Source organism: Homo sapiens, chromosome 5, assembly GCF_000001405.40.
Source record: "Homo sapiens chromosome 5, GRCh38.p14 Primary Assembly".
Lineage (NCBI taxonomy): Eukaryota > Metazoa > Chordata > Mammalia > Primates > Hominidae > Homo > Homo sapiens.
Window position 1 is genome coordinate 137,484,444 of NC_000005.10, and position 15,677 is coordinate 137,500,120.

General features: G+C 44.9%; 1 protein-coding gene across 1 annotated transcript in view, besides 1 other annotated feature; it reads right to left on the reverse strand.

Annotated features, from left to right (window-relative positions):
- The window catches only part of SPOCK1 (SPARC (osteonectin), cwcv and kazal like domains proteoglycan 1), a 524,029-nt gene extending 509,146 nt beyond the window's left edge, over positions 1–14,883 (reverse strand). Inside the window, exons 1-2 of the mRNA NM_004598.4 lie at positions 14,736–14,883; positions 13,930–14,115 (exon numbers count right to left, since the gene is read on the reverse strand). Of these exons, the coding sequence (NP_004589.1) occupies positions 13,930–14,115 (186 nt within the window). The 5' untranslated portion in view covers positions 14,736–14,883. The remainder of the gene's footprint in view (positions 1–13,929; positions 14,116–14,735) is intronic.
- Positions 14,834–15,053: a silencer, noted in NCBI's record as "silent region_16382". NCBI's record gives its function as "represses an Ori minimal core promoter by ATAC-STARR-seq in GM12878 lymphoblastoid cells {active_cell/tissue: GM12878}" and the evidence as "EXISTENCE:reporter gene assay evidence [ECO:0000049][PMID:35858748]".

The window sequence follows — 15,677 nt, forward strand, 5'->3', positions numbered from 1 at the left end:
ACTCTGATGATCATGCATCACCTTACCTGTGCTGGTGCTGATTTAGTACTTGCACATAACCTGGCATGCCATGTTTCCCTCAAATTCTTCTTCTTTACCAAAATTCACTGATACCCGTGGCTGGAAAAGTTGCAGTAAAACACATATTCTACAGTTCCAAGGGTAGAATCAGTACCACGTGACAACAAACATCAATGCCCTTTAAAATACATGTGCTGGCACACCAAGCATTGCTACTTCTGGAAATATATCAAAAGGAAATCATTGTAAATGTAGAAAGACTCATATAACCAAAAATATTCGTCACACAATTATTTAGAATAGGGAAAAAATAGAAACAACCAATTGCCTACCATCAGATACCTTAGTTTGGTATACTGTAGCATATACACTCACTGGATTCAAAAACACCATTAAAATGTCATTTACAAAGAATAGCACCTTACTAAAATGTTTATGTTGTGTTGTTACATGAAAAAAGACGCGCCAAATCATATAAACAGCATGATAATATGCTGTTTATAATGATAAACAGCAATGATAATAAAACCACGAAAATAAAAATTTTAGTATTCAAAAGTCTACTGGAGGCAAATAGATCCTTCCCAAAAAGTGTTCAAGGTGAGTGCATTTTGGAGGGAATAATTTATTTCACTCTTCTGTATCTTCTAACTTCTTTTTTAAAAATTATCTATTTCTTCAAATTCGGAAAAGAACAATGTAAAGTCAAAAGAATAGTGGAAGACCCACCATTACAGCATAAATATATCCCCTCTATATTCCCTCTATACTAGGGTATCTTTGTCCCTAGCACTTAAAACCAACCATTGTATCTTTAACCGTGTTGCTTTTCTCCTTCAACTGGAACATAATTTTCATAAGGGTAGGCAAATGTCTGACACGTAATTGATACACTTTTGTTGAATTGGATGTATGAGCTAGATTATAGGATTTCTCTTTTTAATTTCTCAATCAGTGAATCAAAAAACATTGCTCCCAGTGAACCTTCATATATGAATGAAAGAGTAATTGGCACAACCACTTTGGAAAACTAGTTAACTGCATCTCTTTAAGTTAAACACTCACCTGTCTTACAGTGACCAGTGGATTGCCACACCTAGGTGTGTACCTGAGAAAAATGTGTACATGGGTTTACCAAAAGACATGCCTCAGAGAGTGCTATTATGTAATAAACAAAAACTGGAAACTAACTGCCCTTCAACAATATAACAGGTAAATAAATTGTGGAATATTTATACTGCAATGAAAATTTTAAAAACACACACACAAAAAAAAGTACAACAAATTTAATGTTGAAAAAAAAAGAAGCCAGACATTTAAAAGTACATACTTATTCCATTTATACAAGTAAGAAAATGGGCAAAACACACCTATGGTGTTAGAAGTCAGTGACTGCCAGGGGCATGAGATGGTCTTCAAAGATGCTGGTAATATTCTATCTCCTGATCTGGCTGTTTGGGTGTGTTCACTTTGAGAAACTGCATCAAGTGGGACATTTATAATGTGCACCTTCGATCTCTGTATGCTATGCTCCAATGAAACACACTCCCTACCAATCCAGGGCTGCTAAGGGCAGGGTATGTTTTCCATAATTATTCCTCCATTTACTACAGCCCTCGACCAACAGCCCTGACAAGGCTAAACTCACCATACTTCAGCATTTATGCACACACAAGTTCTGTCTTGTCTGAACTCTCCACCTTGATTGTACAGGCCAGCACCTTCCTGTTGGCCTGTTGGCAGTGTCTGTACCCATAAAATTGGGTAAAACGACAGAAGTTGCCCATGTATGCCAGGAAGAGTTGAGGCAAACTGAAGTGACCTGACCACCAGAAAGATTCAGAGACATGGCCCTGGATCACAAGAAGGACAATGCCTCTGGAAGCCCAGCTCGCCAGAACTGCTCTGGGCCATTTGCAGAGTAGGCCCTTTTCTTTGCAGAAAAATCCCCAACAGGTTTCCCTGACCTCCAAGCACCTCTTTCTCTTCACTTTGTCGCAAATAGAAAGCCTGCAGCCTGACCAGGGGACAGGAATCATGTTTGTTTCCCCTCTGCTACATCCTAAGTGCATAGCACGGTGCCTGGTACATGGTAGCCTGGTCAGTAAGTATCTTTGGTATGAACACACGAATAAACAAAACCTACTGAATCAGTGCACCAGGATCTGGTTTCTAAAAAGGCAAAGATCTAGGACCTGGATGGCCATGCAAAGAAACAAAATATTCCAAAAAACACATGAAAAGGTCTTTCTGGCATAGGAATTTTTAAACCAACAATTCTGGCATGTAAAAATCTCACAATTTCTCTAACAACAGTAAACACAGTATTATTTTATCTTTACTGTGGATAGAATTTGACCGTCTTAGTCATTGGAAGTGATGCAGGCCTCATTCCAGGTGGCTGGACAAAGGCTCCAGACCAGGTCCAGAGTCATGACAAGGCTGGCTGACTCAGATGGGAAGTGAGGCCTTGGCCAGATGAAAGTACTGACACAAGCCAACCACGTCCACAGAAGTCACAGGGAATCATCATGTCCAATAAGCATGGAAAGATCCAGAAATTCCCCATATTCCCCTAACAGTGGAACAATGGAAAGACCTCCAAATAGCCACAACAGTCTGTCCAACAGACTTAACTATTTTCTTCCTCTTGGCAATTTTTTTTAATCAATTTTAGGTGCCATGAATTTACCATTAATTAAAGGAAATTCAAGCAGCTGGGGAAAAGAACATTTGAGAGTTTGTTCAGTGGGAATAGAATGACTTCAGAATGAGGAATACTGCCAAGTCTGGTTGATGCTCATAAATTTTCTAAACTTTGATGAGTCCTTTTTTAGGGGGCAGGGGAGTGGATGCCTTCTGATCTTTCAAAAAAAAAAAAAAAAAAAAACCTCTGGCCAACCAAGAAAAGAACTGACTACACCAAAAAGAGAGTATCAGGTAATGTCACCATCTAGCCCCTGTGTCTCAGACTCCCTCTGTGGTTCCGACTATCAGTATCTGCATCTCAGTGCCCAAGAGTAAACATTCTTTATTACATCCACCATTCCTTGTTTGTTCCATACCCTTAACACCACTTCAGTTTCAATATTCTTTTCACTATAAACTAAAGCCAACGTCAGAGTCAATTTCCTTCATTTCGTCTGTGCAGAAAACATATCAGTTGGGTTAGATACAAAGTCAGGCCAGAGTTAGCTAGAATCAAGCCTTTTGGAGACAAATATGCTGAGATGATCCCCTGGAATTTCATCATGTAGAAGGTCCCACATCAATTCCACTGTGCTCATGTGTGCAAGCATCCCTGGGCCCTGGCAGCCAATCAAGACCCAAATGTTATTCCATTCCAGGAAAACCTCATGACAATAGCTGTTGCTGAGGCCTATGTTGAGTCACACATTGGAAAACAAGACCATTTTTTCTGATGTGAATGGTAGCCCTGTTGGCATAAGGGGAAAATACTGCACTCATATTAATTTATTGCAAGTCTTCAAAATAAAATGCTCATTTTGTCTAAAATGTTATTATTCATTGCAGCTAAATGGTGTTGGCTATTTGGGATGGATAACAATTCTCTAGGATTTTCCTAAAAATACAGTCTGAGAACTACCTACATCAGAATCACCTGGATTGGGCTGAGCACAGTGGCTCACACCTGTAACCCCAGCACTTTAAGAGGCCAAGGTGGGCGGATCACTTGAGGTCAGGAGTTTGAGACCAGCCTGGCCAATGCGGCGAAACCCCATCTCTACTAAAAATACAAAAATTAGCTGGGCGTGGTGGCGCATGACTGTAGTCCCAGCTACTCGGGAGGCTGAGGCAGGAGAATCACTTGAACCCAAGCGGCAGAGGTTGCAGTGAGCTGAGATCGCGCCACTGCACTCCAGCCTGGGCGACAGAGCAAGACTCTGTCTTCAAAAAAAAAAGAATCACCTGGACTGCTCATTTAAAATGCAGGTTCCTGGGTGCCACCTTTGACCTGCTAAAGCCTATGCTCTGGACTAGCAGGATGAAATCTGCATTTTAAATAAACCCTGACAGTGATTTCTCAAGACTGTAAAGATATTAGTCTGAGAATGCCACTCTAACAGACCGCTCTGGGCATCTTTTCTCTTTGTCTTGGCCAGGCCTCTCAGAATTGAGTTAGAGCGTGACTCCATTTGCACGGCGGGACAGACGAGTACAGCTGAAATAAAAAGTAGAGGCCTCTGCTCTCTGCATGTTTGTTTTCTCCATGTTTTATTTGGGCAAAGATTGCCTGGAACACCTGCAGTAAGTTCCACTTCCCTGCTCCAATCACAGGCGCCGACGGACTTTGCATAAATGCCTGCTCACCTACCACATAATTCTGCTGGGGAATGTTGACGGTGCCCTCTGGAGTGTGATGTGTCCCAGATCACACAGGAAGGGTTTCAGAAGCATTACAAATCCTTGTATAATATGTCCGCCCTTCCTCCCTTTCCCCAAAGAAAAGTTTGTTTTTGAGAATGAAGTGAGAGGGTCTCTGGGGGGTATATTTTCATAAAACCATGAGAAAAGCTACCAAATCAAATTAACTTGGATCTTAGCATTATCCTTCTAAAGGGATCCCCAATAATTCACATCACCAGTCTGTGAATGCATCTTTCATCTTCCCCAAAAAGAAACCATTATCCCCATGTCTGTCATAGGAACAATGGGCAGACTCAGACCCAAGGGCAAGAAGGTGCACATGCTATCCACACACTCCCCATGTGGTGCTGAAGTAAGTGCATGCGTGTCTATCTCTGCCGCTAAGCTGATCCCTTAGATGAATGTCTTGCTTTTCATCTTTAGCCTCAAAGTGACAGTGGAAGGGGAAAAGGTAAGGGGAGGAGCTGAAGGAGCAACCCCATGTATACTAGTCTCATTTTTAAAATATAAACTCCACAGATCACCACTCTGACCAAGAAACACTATGATCCTCTTATTTCTAAACAGCAGTAGGAACTGTAGGAGCTCTAAAGCCCAGGACATTTGACCACAGAGGGAAGGAGAAACTTCCAGACCATGGACACCAGAGGAGTAGGAAGGATTAAGTGGGGGACCAGAGTGAGGGATGTTTATACAATAGAGATGGCTGCAGAAGATGGCACAGAGAGGCACAAAGAGGAGAGGAAAAGAACAGGCCATCCTTCCAAGTACTTGGGCCATCTGTGTGCCTCACTTTTTGCAGTTGACTCATTCCCCTGCCCCCAAATGTGTGTTAAGTTGAAAATGTGTGAAGTGTGCTTTAAAATACACTAGGAGAGAGCTTGCTACTTAAGGGAACACTAGGGCAAACACATCTGATGGAAACACATCAAGGTCTTTCCCACTTCAAGACCTTTGGACCCACTCTTCCCATGGCCTCTCCTCACCTGGTTCACTGCAGTCCTCCTGCAGGGCTCAGCTTCAATGCCCTTCCCAGGGAAGCAGTCCCCAGCCAAAAAGGTTAATGGGTTCCTCCTCCCTCTTCCCATGACATATTCTGAGAGCATCGGTGCCTCTGCCTTGTAGTACTTTTCTCAAAGGAACATAAATGATTATTCCGTGATTGTTTGTCTACCATACTAGACCATAAATGCCAGGAAGGTACAAATGTGTCTATCTTCTTCACCCGACACCTAGCAGAGGCCTGGCACATAGCTGGCATTTGAAGAACATTTGTGTGACAACACATTACCCTACCTGCATTAACTATTTGTTATTGCTGGGTTTCTCCTAAGCCACAACCAACCTGCTTGGGCTGTAGTGAATGACAGGCCCTCTGACGACCCATAATGATCTGGAACTGAAGAACTGGGTCTTTGGAGAGAAGGATCAAAGGTCTGGCTAATCCCTACTAGTATTCTCCTTTGGTTCTAAAGCCAAATCTGGAGCTTGGGGACTGCCTGAGTGCCAAGAAGCAGGTGCTAGCCCCTGCAAGAACTTCCCCAAGTATAGTGATGCCAACATGATGCAAAATCAAGACCAAATTATGGGCACCAGACATACAGAGCGTGCTGAGAACGCCGCAGTAATACACAGGCCGGTTGGATCATTTGTCTCAAAATGGATCCCATCCCCTGGTGCCCATAAAGCCTGCCTGAGACCTCTCTGGCAGGACAAGATGAAGTTTCTACCTCTTGAGGTGAGCTGGAGGCAACTGGATCAGAGCTTAACATTAAAGTGACACCAAGTAGTGCTTAGTTGCATAACGGGGCTCCCAAGAGCAACCTTCGCATAACTTGGATTTCAGACACAGTTGCATACAAACCCCCTCCCAGTTACGTCATGATGAGAGTTGCCAGTTTTGGGGGAGGAGGTCCAGCAAGAATATAAAATATGATGGCAAGGTCTTCTGTGCCAGGAGCTACAACTGGAAAATAACAAAGAATGGGCCATATGGAACCTCACACAGCCTTCCAGACTGGCAAGAAATGGAGTGAAGACAGGCTCATGATCATGGAACTGACTCCCCCAACATGTTTCTAAGAGACAGAAAGCAGCATCTATAGCTGAGTGCCAACAACTCACACTCACAAGCCAGACAAGAAGCTCCCTTAAATTAAATGATTATAGATCATTACGAATTAAAATAGATATACCAGCCACTCAAAGATCACAAGTACCTACTCTGTGCCACGTGCTTACTCAGTCCTCCCCCAGAGCCCCACAATGCAAGTATCACCATTCCAGTTTTACAGAAGAAACTGATGCTCTAGCCAAACACCTAAGCTTAGCTTTGGCAAGACTGGAACGTGACCTCAGGTTAATAGTGGGCACTTACACCATGACATGACTCAGCCTCAAAGAGCTTTTCACGGAATCAGAGATTGTGCTGGAATTGCGAGGGGGGTTGCATTTCCCTGCTGGGTTCCCTCTGCCTCTCAACAGCACTGCATTTGTTATTATCCATCATCATTTTCAATTACTAATAGAGTGAGACATACACATTCGAAGCTAGTATGACTCACTCTGCCATGACAGCCCTCTGCAGTGAACCCCTCCACTTGCCACAGGTGTGGAAAGTTCTGGCCTGGGACAGTGCACTCAGCCATTCATTCATTCCAACATTCAATGAGCAGCTTTCTGAGTGGGGCTCTGTGGTAAAGGTCTGAGGACACCAAGCTATATACAATGGTGTATCTTAAAAGGAATTACAAAGGGGTGAGGTCCTGGCTTAGAGATAGGAGTTAGACTAAAAAACAGTTTTTCGATATGTGTGACCCTGAGAATTTCCACCTCTCAGAGACTATAAACACATGTGCCTAGTATGCTTCTAAAAGCTTTCCTTCCTCAGATTCATCCAAGAGGTTTGCTCAGGAGGCAATTCAAGTCAACAAAATGCTTATTGGCCACCTGCTGTGTGTGAGGCATGACAAGACTTAGGTTCTTCAGGAGGCATCCAACTATTAAATAAGCTAAAATGTAGATATATACAACTATAAATCAAGGAATACTGCATAACAGTGCTATAGGAATTGTTGATATTAATAAAAAGAATAGCCTCCACTTGCTATCTATGATGCCAGGCATTGTGCTAAGAGCTTCACCTGCATTAACCAACTTACTCTTCATGCTAAACCCATAAGCTTGGTCAACACAGTGGACATCTGTTGACATCTGCCCATCAGGCATCCATTTCCCCTTGAGAAATTACCCTTCTACCATCCATCAACAGTGGGATCCAATGAAACCCCTCCACCACTCTAGCCCTAGGCCCCAGCCCTGGGCACATAACCCAGACTTGGACACATAACCCAGACTTGGACAATCAGCACACTCTACCAACTTAGCCAAAGTGATTGACGGAGGAATGGGTGCCTAACGCCGGGAAATCTGACAAGTCTCAGTTCTGGGACTTCTGTTGGCACTATCGAGAACATGAAAACTATGATGATGCAGATTTGCAGTTGCCATGAGCCACTACATGGAACCAAACAACCTGAGCACAAAACCAACATAGGAGCAGGGAGACAGAATGAGACACACACAAACCCCTAGTCCTATGATGTAACTTGACCCCTGGATCCAGCCTTACATAAAACCACAGCTTCTTAGAATTTTTTAGTTATACAAGCGAGTATGTTTTCTCTTCCATTTAAGCCAGCTTGGACCACATTTCAGTCACTTGCAATCTAAAGTTTCACCAAAGGAATATTATTATCATTTCTTAACAAATGAGTCAGTGGCCCAGAGATGATAAATAATCTGAGATTGCTTTAAGTTAAATGAACTGTGTAAGTTTTTTATGGGGGGAGGGCACAATGAGAGTGTGCATGTAGACCAGAAACCTGCGAGAGTGCCAGACTGCTCAGTTGCTTGGACCATGTCTTTTCTCTCCATCCACCAATGGAAGGTGGAGACAGGCAAGTAGCCTTGCTGCAGCCCCTTCCCTTCATGGTGAGTTCATTTCTTGTTTACCTCTACACAGTGTAGCCCTTTGGAATTCCAGCTTTATCCAGAGGTCTATTAAACTCTTCACACTGGGCACTGTCTTACTCCTTGACGGTTCATTAAAATGGTGCATCTTACCATTGGTGGCATCTCACACCGAATGAAACATGATGGACAAATACTTATAACCTTAAGTGAATTACATAATCTCTTACAGGAAATTTATTTTGTTTGTAACTATCTCACCTGGAGAGATAAGACCAAGTATAATCTGGGTCTTATGAATTTTCCAAGGACCACAGGCAGTCACCTCACCACAGGAAAGGTAAAATGAGTCATCCTGAATGTGCTTGTGTTTAGTTATTGTGTTTGGTTTGAAACACATTATATTGAGTAAATCAATAAGAAATGATGATACATTATTTAATTACTAACATTATTTTGCCTCCTCAAGTAACAAAGTGATTGAGCGAATGATGAGGTCCCACTCCTCTAGGCAAGTATTACGGGTCCATTATCCATTTGGAGCCACTTCTTGGTTTTGAAACTGGCCTCATCAGAATATAGGAGAGCACTTATCCTCCCAGTGATACAGTTCTGCTGAAGTATCATGGAGAGGCCTGGGAAGGCCAACTGGGGCAAGGAGCTCTGCCATCTGAGAAGACTTAGCTTTTCTCTGGCAAGGGCACATTGAAGGTAAGGACAGAGAAGACAAGAAGGCTCTTAGGCCTATCAACTTTTAAACTGTCCCTTTATAATGATCCCTGTGAAATAATTATTTCTATCAATGGTCAGCTAGTACAGGGGATTTAAGATAGTGGGTTCATTAAAGAGAGTCAGGATCACAAACTCATTTAAGTCTCCTTGAACCTGTTTAATCAAAATGATTTTCTGCTACTCTCGATTACGGGCTGAGTTTCCGTGATGACAGATTAATGACTGATCCACTAAGCCATACCACCTCTTTTGTCACCAGCCCCACTGACTGGGCCAGCCACTATTTTATCAATAGGCTCCACTTGCCCTTGAAACTCATTATAGCTGATATGTTAGATCAAATGAGCAGATCAGATGCTCGCTGCCACCCCAGCTCTGCTACAAAGACCACCAAATCCCACAGAGCATGTGCCAGAAGGAAAAAGAACAGAAGTTGGTCCTTGTGCTCTTATTAGAATTACACACTCAGGTCACTCCACAGTAAGATAAATTCCAGCCAAGGCAGCACTTCTGATTCTTCAGGCCCGCTAAAGGTAATTATCCTAAAGTTAAATGTCAGGGTTTCATGTGTGCAAAAGAAAGAAAATGTCATGTTTGGTGTAAGCAACAATATTATTTTAATCAAATCAGAAGCTCATTATTAGAAGATAAGCCCTGACATGACCCCCACAATACACTGTGTCCAGCTGACTTCCCATCCCACTCTGTCTTAACCTAAGGCTGTTCACGGGTTGCCCTCATTCATAAAGCAGGAAAAACTTGCAATGTGCTATCAGTGGAGGCTTGCACCCCAAATCCACTCAGCCCCTGATTGGCTGTGGTACAGAGGGAGCCTAGAGTCAGATGGCATAGTTCCAGCCCCAGCTCCTCCACATCTCAGCTCTAATTTTGATCAAAAGACTTAACCTCCCAGGGTTAAGTACTTCTCTCATAGGATTGTTATGAATATTAAGTGAGATAATACATGGAAAGTACCTTAAACAGTGTCTGGCACACTCGATGCTCCATAAATGTTAGCTATTACCTATTTCTGCAATGTTTTAATCTTTTAGTTACAACCAGACTGTATTATGTTTCTAGAAAAAATATTTTTTAAAAGAAAACAGAATAAGTAGTCTATGACAGCATAAGTTAAAGAATTTCCTCTAGCAGACAAGAGGTTACATGAAAGAAGAGATTACATGTATTTATCTTGTTCACTCTTATAACCCAATGCCTAGTCAATGGTAGATAAATATTTGTTGGAATGAATGAAGGTACAAATGAACAGAGGAAAATTTCCTTATGGTAATGGTTATGGAAAGCCAAAGCCAAATCAGATGCAGAAAAATTAGGAGAATGGTTGTGGCATCTTGATCCCTCAACCTCAAGCCATGGAGGAGTTAAATGCATGTCAGCTAAAGATGGAAAATTATTGAACAACTTAATACAAAGATCTGCTTCTTCATCGCCTCCTTAACATTGTGTACAAAAGTCCAGGCCTCCATCTGGCCAAAACTTCCCAATTGCTAGTGTTTATAAAAGAAGAATGACAAAACTAACAGACCACAAATACATTTAGGAGCAATCATCTGAGCATTGTTCTATTTGTCCTGGATCTGTAACTCCAGGGAATAAGCCATGGAGTTGTTCTAAAGGCTTTACTTCTAAAAAGAAGGGGATAGGAAGTATTTATACATCTAGAGCAATAGGACACTTTTCAAAATGATAAGTAGAGGTTGCCAGGTCACCTCTGGCAATGTCACAGCACACCCAGTAGTCAAGGGATATGGAACACGCACCCCACTGTCATATTCATTTCAAAGTTGACCCTGTAACAACACCCAAGGGCTACAATCAACTCTCTAAGAGCAGCCCTTAGTTTTCAGTTTCCAAGTTTCAAAAATCACATCTGAATCTCTCCCCCAAGTCCAACAAAGAGACAAGTCAGGAGGAAGGCAAGAAGTTTTCTTTCACAATGAGTTCCAAAAATTGACATGCATCATAACAATAATTGTGGGACACAGCCTTTCAAAGTTATCAGTAGCTTCAACAAAACAAAGAAACAGCAAAGAAGCTGAGGCTTTGTCAACCTCAAGCAAGGCTTGGCTCAATGAAAATGATTAGGCTGGCTGAGCAACTGCAAGATTAGCTGAGGCTTTATCGATTGTCCACTGAATAGTAGGTTTCTGTAGAAAGCAAATTCTTACCCTCTGTTCCCAGGCTCAGGCTTTGTGATTATTCCAGGGACTTGCCCTAAAAGAGTGTCTGGTCTGAGTTCCACAACACTTTAAAGAGGTTAATGACATTAAATTATGTCTGAGCCACTGTTAGTGTCAGGTGACTCCATACAGCACATAAAATGGGTGATGAATGAAGAAGTTTGGGATTTTTTTGAACATTTTTAGATGTTTTAATGGCATGCTGGATTAAATTATCATTTTTTAAATATATGCTGCTAAAAATATTAGTTTAATGTCTAAAACCGCTCCAAAAACAAAAACAAAAAAAAATAGTGTATTGGGACATAAAAGCTTTTCTTTTTGTTATGTCTTGGACATTTTTATACTATCTAAAGGCAGTATTTCCTAAACATTAGAATAACCTAGTATGTTTGCTTAAAATATGGATTCCCTGCACTCACCCCAGAAATGTAAAGTCAGATTCTCCAGGGTAGGACCATGGATGCTATAATTTAACAAGCACTTCAGGTGAGCTTCATCCTCAGTCAGGTTTGGAAACACACTGTTCCAAAGATCTAAAAATGTCACCACCATCCATAATAAAGATGGGAAATGAACAGAAGCCCAATTTTAAAAAATTTAAAGCTAAGCAGGAATTCAGAATATCATGCTTATGATACACTGAGACTAGAAAATCTTGAACAGGCATGAAAGCACAGTAAACCTTTCCATAACCCAAAGATCCAAAAAAGCACAAGTGTTTTCAACTCAATCCAGCTGCCAGGAGCACCAAGGCATCTATCTCCAGAGGTGGCCCTTCACTTCTAATCCTGGCTCAATTCTTCCACCTCTAGCAAAGTCAAGCAACTGCCCTGCTCTTCAACTCTATCTAAAAGATAGCCATAGAAAAGTAAAAACAAAACAAAACAAAAAGCAAAATTATCTCTGCCCCAGGTGAATCCTTCATGGTTTGGGCACATTTTTCAGCCATAGGGAAAGGTAATCAATGAAGGATTCTCAGATCTAAGCAGTTAACAGAGCAGGTCAGGAATGGGGCAATGAATGGCAGGAATCTCACTGGGGTAGGGGAGGAAAGTGAGGGGCATATCTACTGCAAAAGACCCTAGTAGTTATTATGTATCAATTAAAAATTTTAATGAAATTACAATTTCGATAAAAGGCCCCAAATAGCTGTGGCTATTCATTGAAAGTGTTTGAAATCCCCTTTCCAAGAGAAGCAGTCCAACATCAACTAGAAAAAAGAAGAGGAGGAACAGAGAGGAGAGTGATAAACCCCCACACAAAGCTATGAGTGCATCTCCTCTGGACAGGGATCTGGAGAGGGTGCTCTTTAAAAAGTGTATGGAAACATCTGGGATTCATTCAATGTCTCAAATTCCCTCTCCCTGCAAGGCCTGCAGATACTGAGAGCAGAGCTTAGAGGAGTCCAGTGGAGGAAGCTGATCCCCATACATATCCCACCTCAAAGAGTCTGTAAACCATGCCCGGGGACATTAACAAAGGGGGTCTGTGGTATAGGTCAAATTATCATATTTAAAAAATACATGCTGCTAAAAATATTAGTTTAACACCTAAAACTGATCAGAAACAAACAAAAAGAAACAGTGCCTTTGAACATTAAAGCTTTTCTCTTTTTTACTGTTATGCCTTGGGCACTTTTACAATATTTAAGGCTTCTCAGAAACAGGAATTCCTAATGTTAAGTACCATAAAACATGGTACTCCCAAGTCCCCTAGAAGGGCATGGCCCTGGCCAGCTGGGGCAGTCCTTGAAGAAGCTGGCAGACGCTCCCACAGAACAGAGGAGATGCCATCTGCTGGAAAGACTGCACCAGATGCCTCTTGCCCCACATCCCTGGGGCACACCTGGGGAGTGGCAGCCAGCCTTGAGGCAGAAACAGGCCGCAAGTGTGTTTCTGCGTGTCCGGGAGTAACTTTCTCCACTCCCAGGGCTCCCACGGAGGAGCAATGCTCTGCCACCCAGGGTCCCTTTCAGGGCAGGGGACCAACTGCACGGGCTAGTTGTTCCTGTTTCAAGATTCCGAGGGTCAAACCACCCCACCTCCCCTGTATTTTATCAGGCCCATTGCCATGACCGCCTCCCTCAACACACACACACACACACATGCAACACCTGACTCCCATAAATAGCTCCCCCATAAATAGCTTGGACCACTCCCAGACCCAACCTCTCCAGTAGGGATTCTCCTGACACACCCCAGAGATGGTCCACGCCACCGCTGCCCCGGGGAGGTTTTCTCCGGAGCTAGGGAAAGTCTACCATCACGGTTAGGAGAAGTCGGAAGCTCAGAGAACCTCTTTCTCCACAGCTACTGGTGATCTGTGCTGTATTTTAGTGCAGTCACCTCCCGCAGCCCTACGAATACACACACCTGGGCCACAGGTAACAGGCAAGCGCATGGAGCCTTCGAAGTTCTCTTTAAAGTTCCTTTCAGGCAAGACCGCACCCAGGAAGCTGGGACCGACCAGCCCCCGCGGGAGATGCCCACCTGTCCCCCTCCCAACCACACACACACACACACACACACACACACACACACCCCAACCCCGCTTCAGGGGTCCCCTCCGAGAGGCTCCGCGCCCCCCAGGGCCGGGTGGCGCCGGTACTCACGTCTCGAAAGCGGTTCCAGTACTTGTCCCGGTCGTACTGGGAGACGGTGCTCAGCCACTGGTCATTGTCTAGGAAATTGCCGTGGTTGGGGCCCGCGCCTCCGGCGAGCGCGTCCAGGTGCCGGCTCTCGACTTGGAGGAAGCACCACGCCGCGGCGGCCGCCGCCAACACCGCGATCGCCGGCATCTGCGGGGCAGGGCGCGCAGGGCGATGAGCGAAGAGGGCGGGCGGCCGCGAGCCCCGGGCACCCAGGCGTCCCAGCGCCCCAGCCCGGAGGCGGGGACCCCGCGGCGGGCACGGGCAGCGCTCGCGCACCTGGGGCGCCTGTCGCGCCTCTAGACCCAGGGACCCCTCTCACGAATGGGGGACTCATCTACGAACGAGGAGGCTGCGTCACGAATCCGAGGCTGCCGTCCAACTACAGGGGACCCGTCTCGTCTATTCTCCGAGTGCCCCACAGATGCCGCCCTCCTATCAGGGGCTTGGTACCCCTCCCCAGAAGCGGGGAGCCCGGGTCCGCACGCCGCACTCCCACAGACGGTGCGGTGCACACGGCTTTGGGGCAGGAGAGGGGAGAACAGGGCTCCAGCAGCACCCGAGCTCCGGCAAGCGGGGTGGGGGCTGCCAGCAGCTGGGGGTCCCCGGCGACAGCTAAGGGAAAGGTCTCCCTTGAGCGCCCTGAGGTCTCGGGGGTAAGAAAGGCGCGCGGAGGTAACCCCAGGCCCTGACCCTGCCAGCCCCCTAGGCGGCCGCGGGGAGGTCCCAACTACTCCAAGTTGGGGCGCGGGGTTCCTCTGGGCACGTACCTTGGGGGCCGGCCCGGGTCCCCTAGTCCGAGTTGCTCGAGCTCCCGCGGCACGGTCGCCGGGAAGGCTGATCGCCGGCTCGCGCCCCTGCGCTCCTGCCACACGCCGCCGCCGAGCGTCTGGCCGCTTTGTGAGCCCGCAGCGATGTGCTCTGCTCGCTCGCTGGCTCGGGCGCGGCGTCCGCGGGCGGAGGAGGCCGAGCGCGCGAGCCAAGGCTCTGGCGCCCCCTGGTGGCCGCGCGCTGCCTGCCCGACAGCCCGGCCGCCCCAGCCCGGAACGTGGTCATTCACATCTTTTTTTTTTTTTTTTTTTTTTTTAATTTACTTCTATTTTTTTTTTTAATTATACTTTAAGTTTTAGGGTACATGTGCACATTGTGCAGGTTAGTTACATATGTATACATGTGCCATGCTGGTGCGCTGCACCCACTAACTCGTCATCTAGCATTAGGTATATCTCCCAATGCTATCCCTCCCCACTCCCCCCACCCCACCACAGTCCCCAGAGTGTGATATTCCCCTTCCTGTGTCCATGTGATCTCATTGTTCAATTCCCACCTATGAGTGAGAATATGCGGTGTTTGGTTTTTTGTTCTTGCGATAGTTTACTGAGAATGATGGTTTCCAATTTCATCCACGTCCCTACAAAGGACATGAACTCATCCTTTTTTATGGCTGCATAGTATTCCATGGTGTATATGTGCCACATTTTCTTAATCCAGTCTATCATTGATGGACATTTGGGTTGGTTCCAAGTCTTTGCTATTGTGAATAATGCCGCAATACACATACGTGTGCATGTGGCTTTATAGCAGCATGATTTATAGTCCTTTGGGTATATACCCAGTAATGGGATGGCTGGGTCAAATGGTATTTCTAGTTCTAGATCCCTGAGGAATCGCCACACTGACTTCCACAATGGTTGAACTAGTTTACAGTCCCA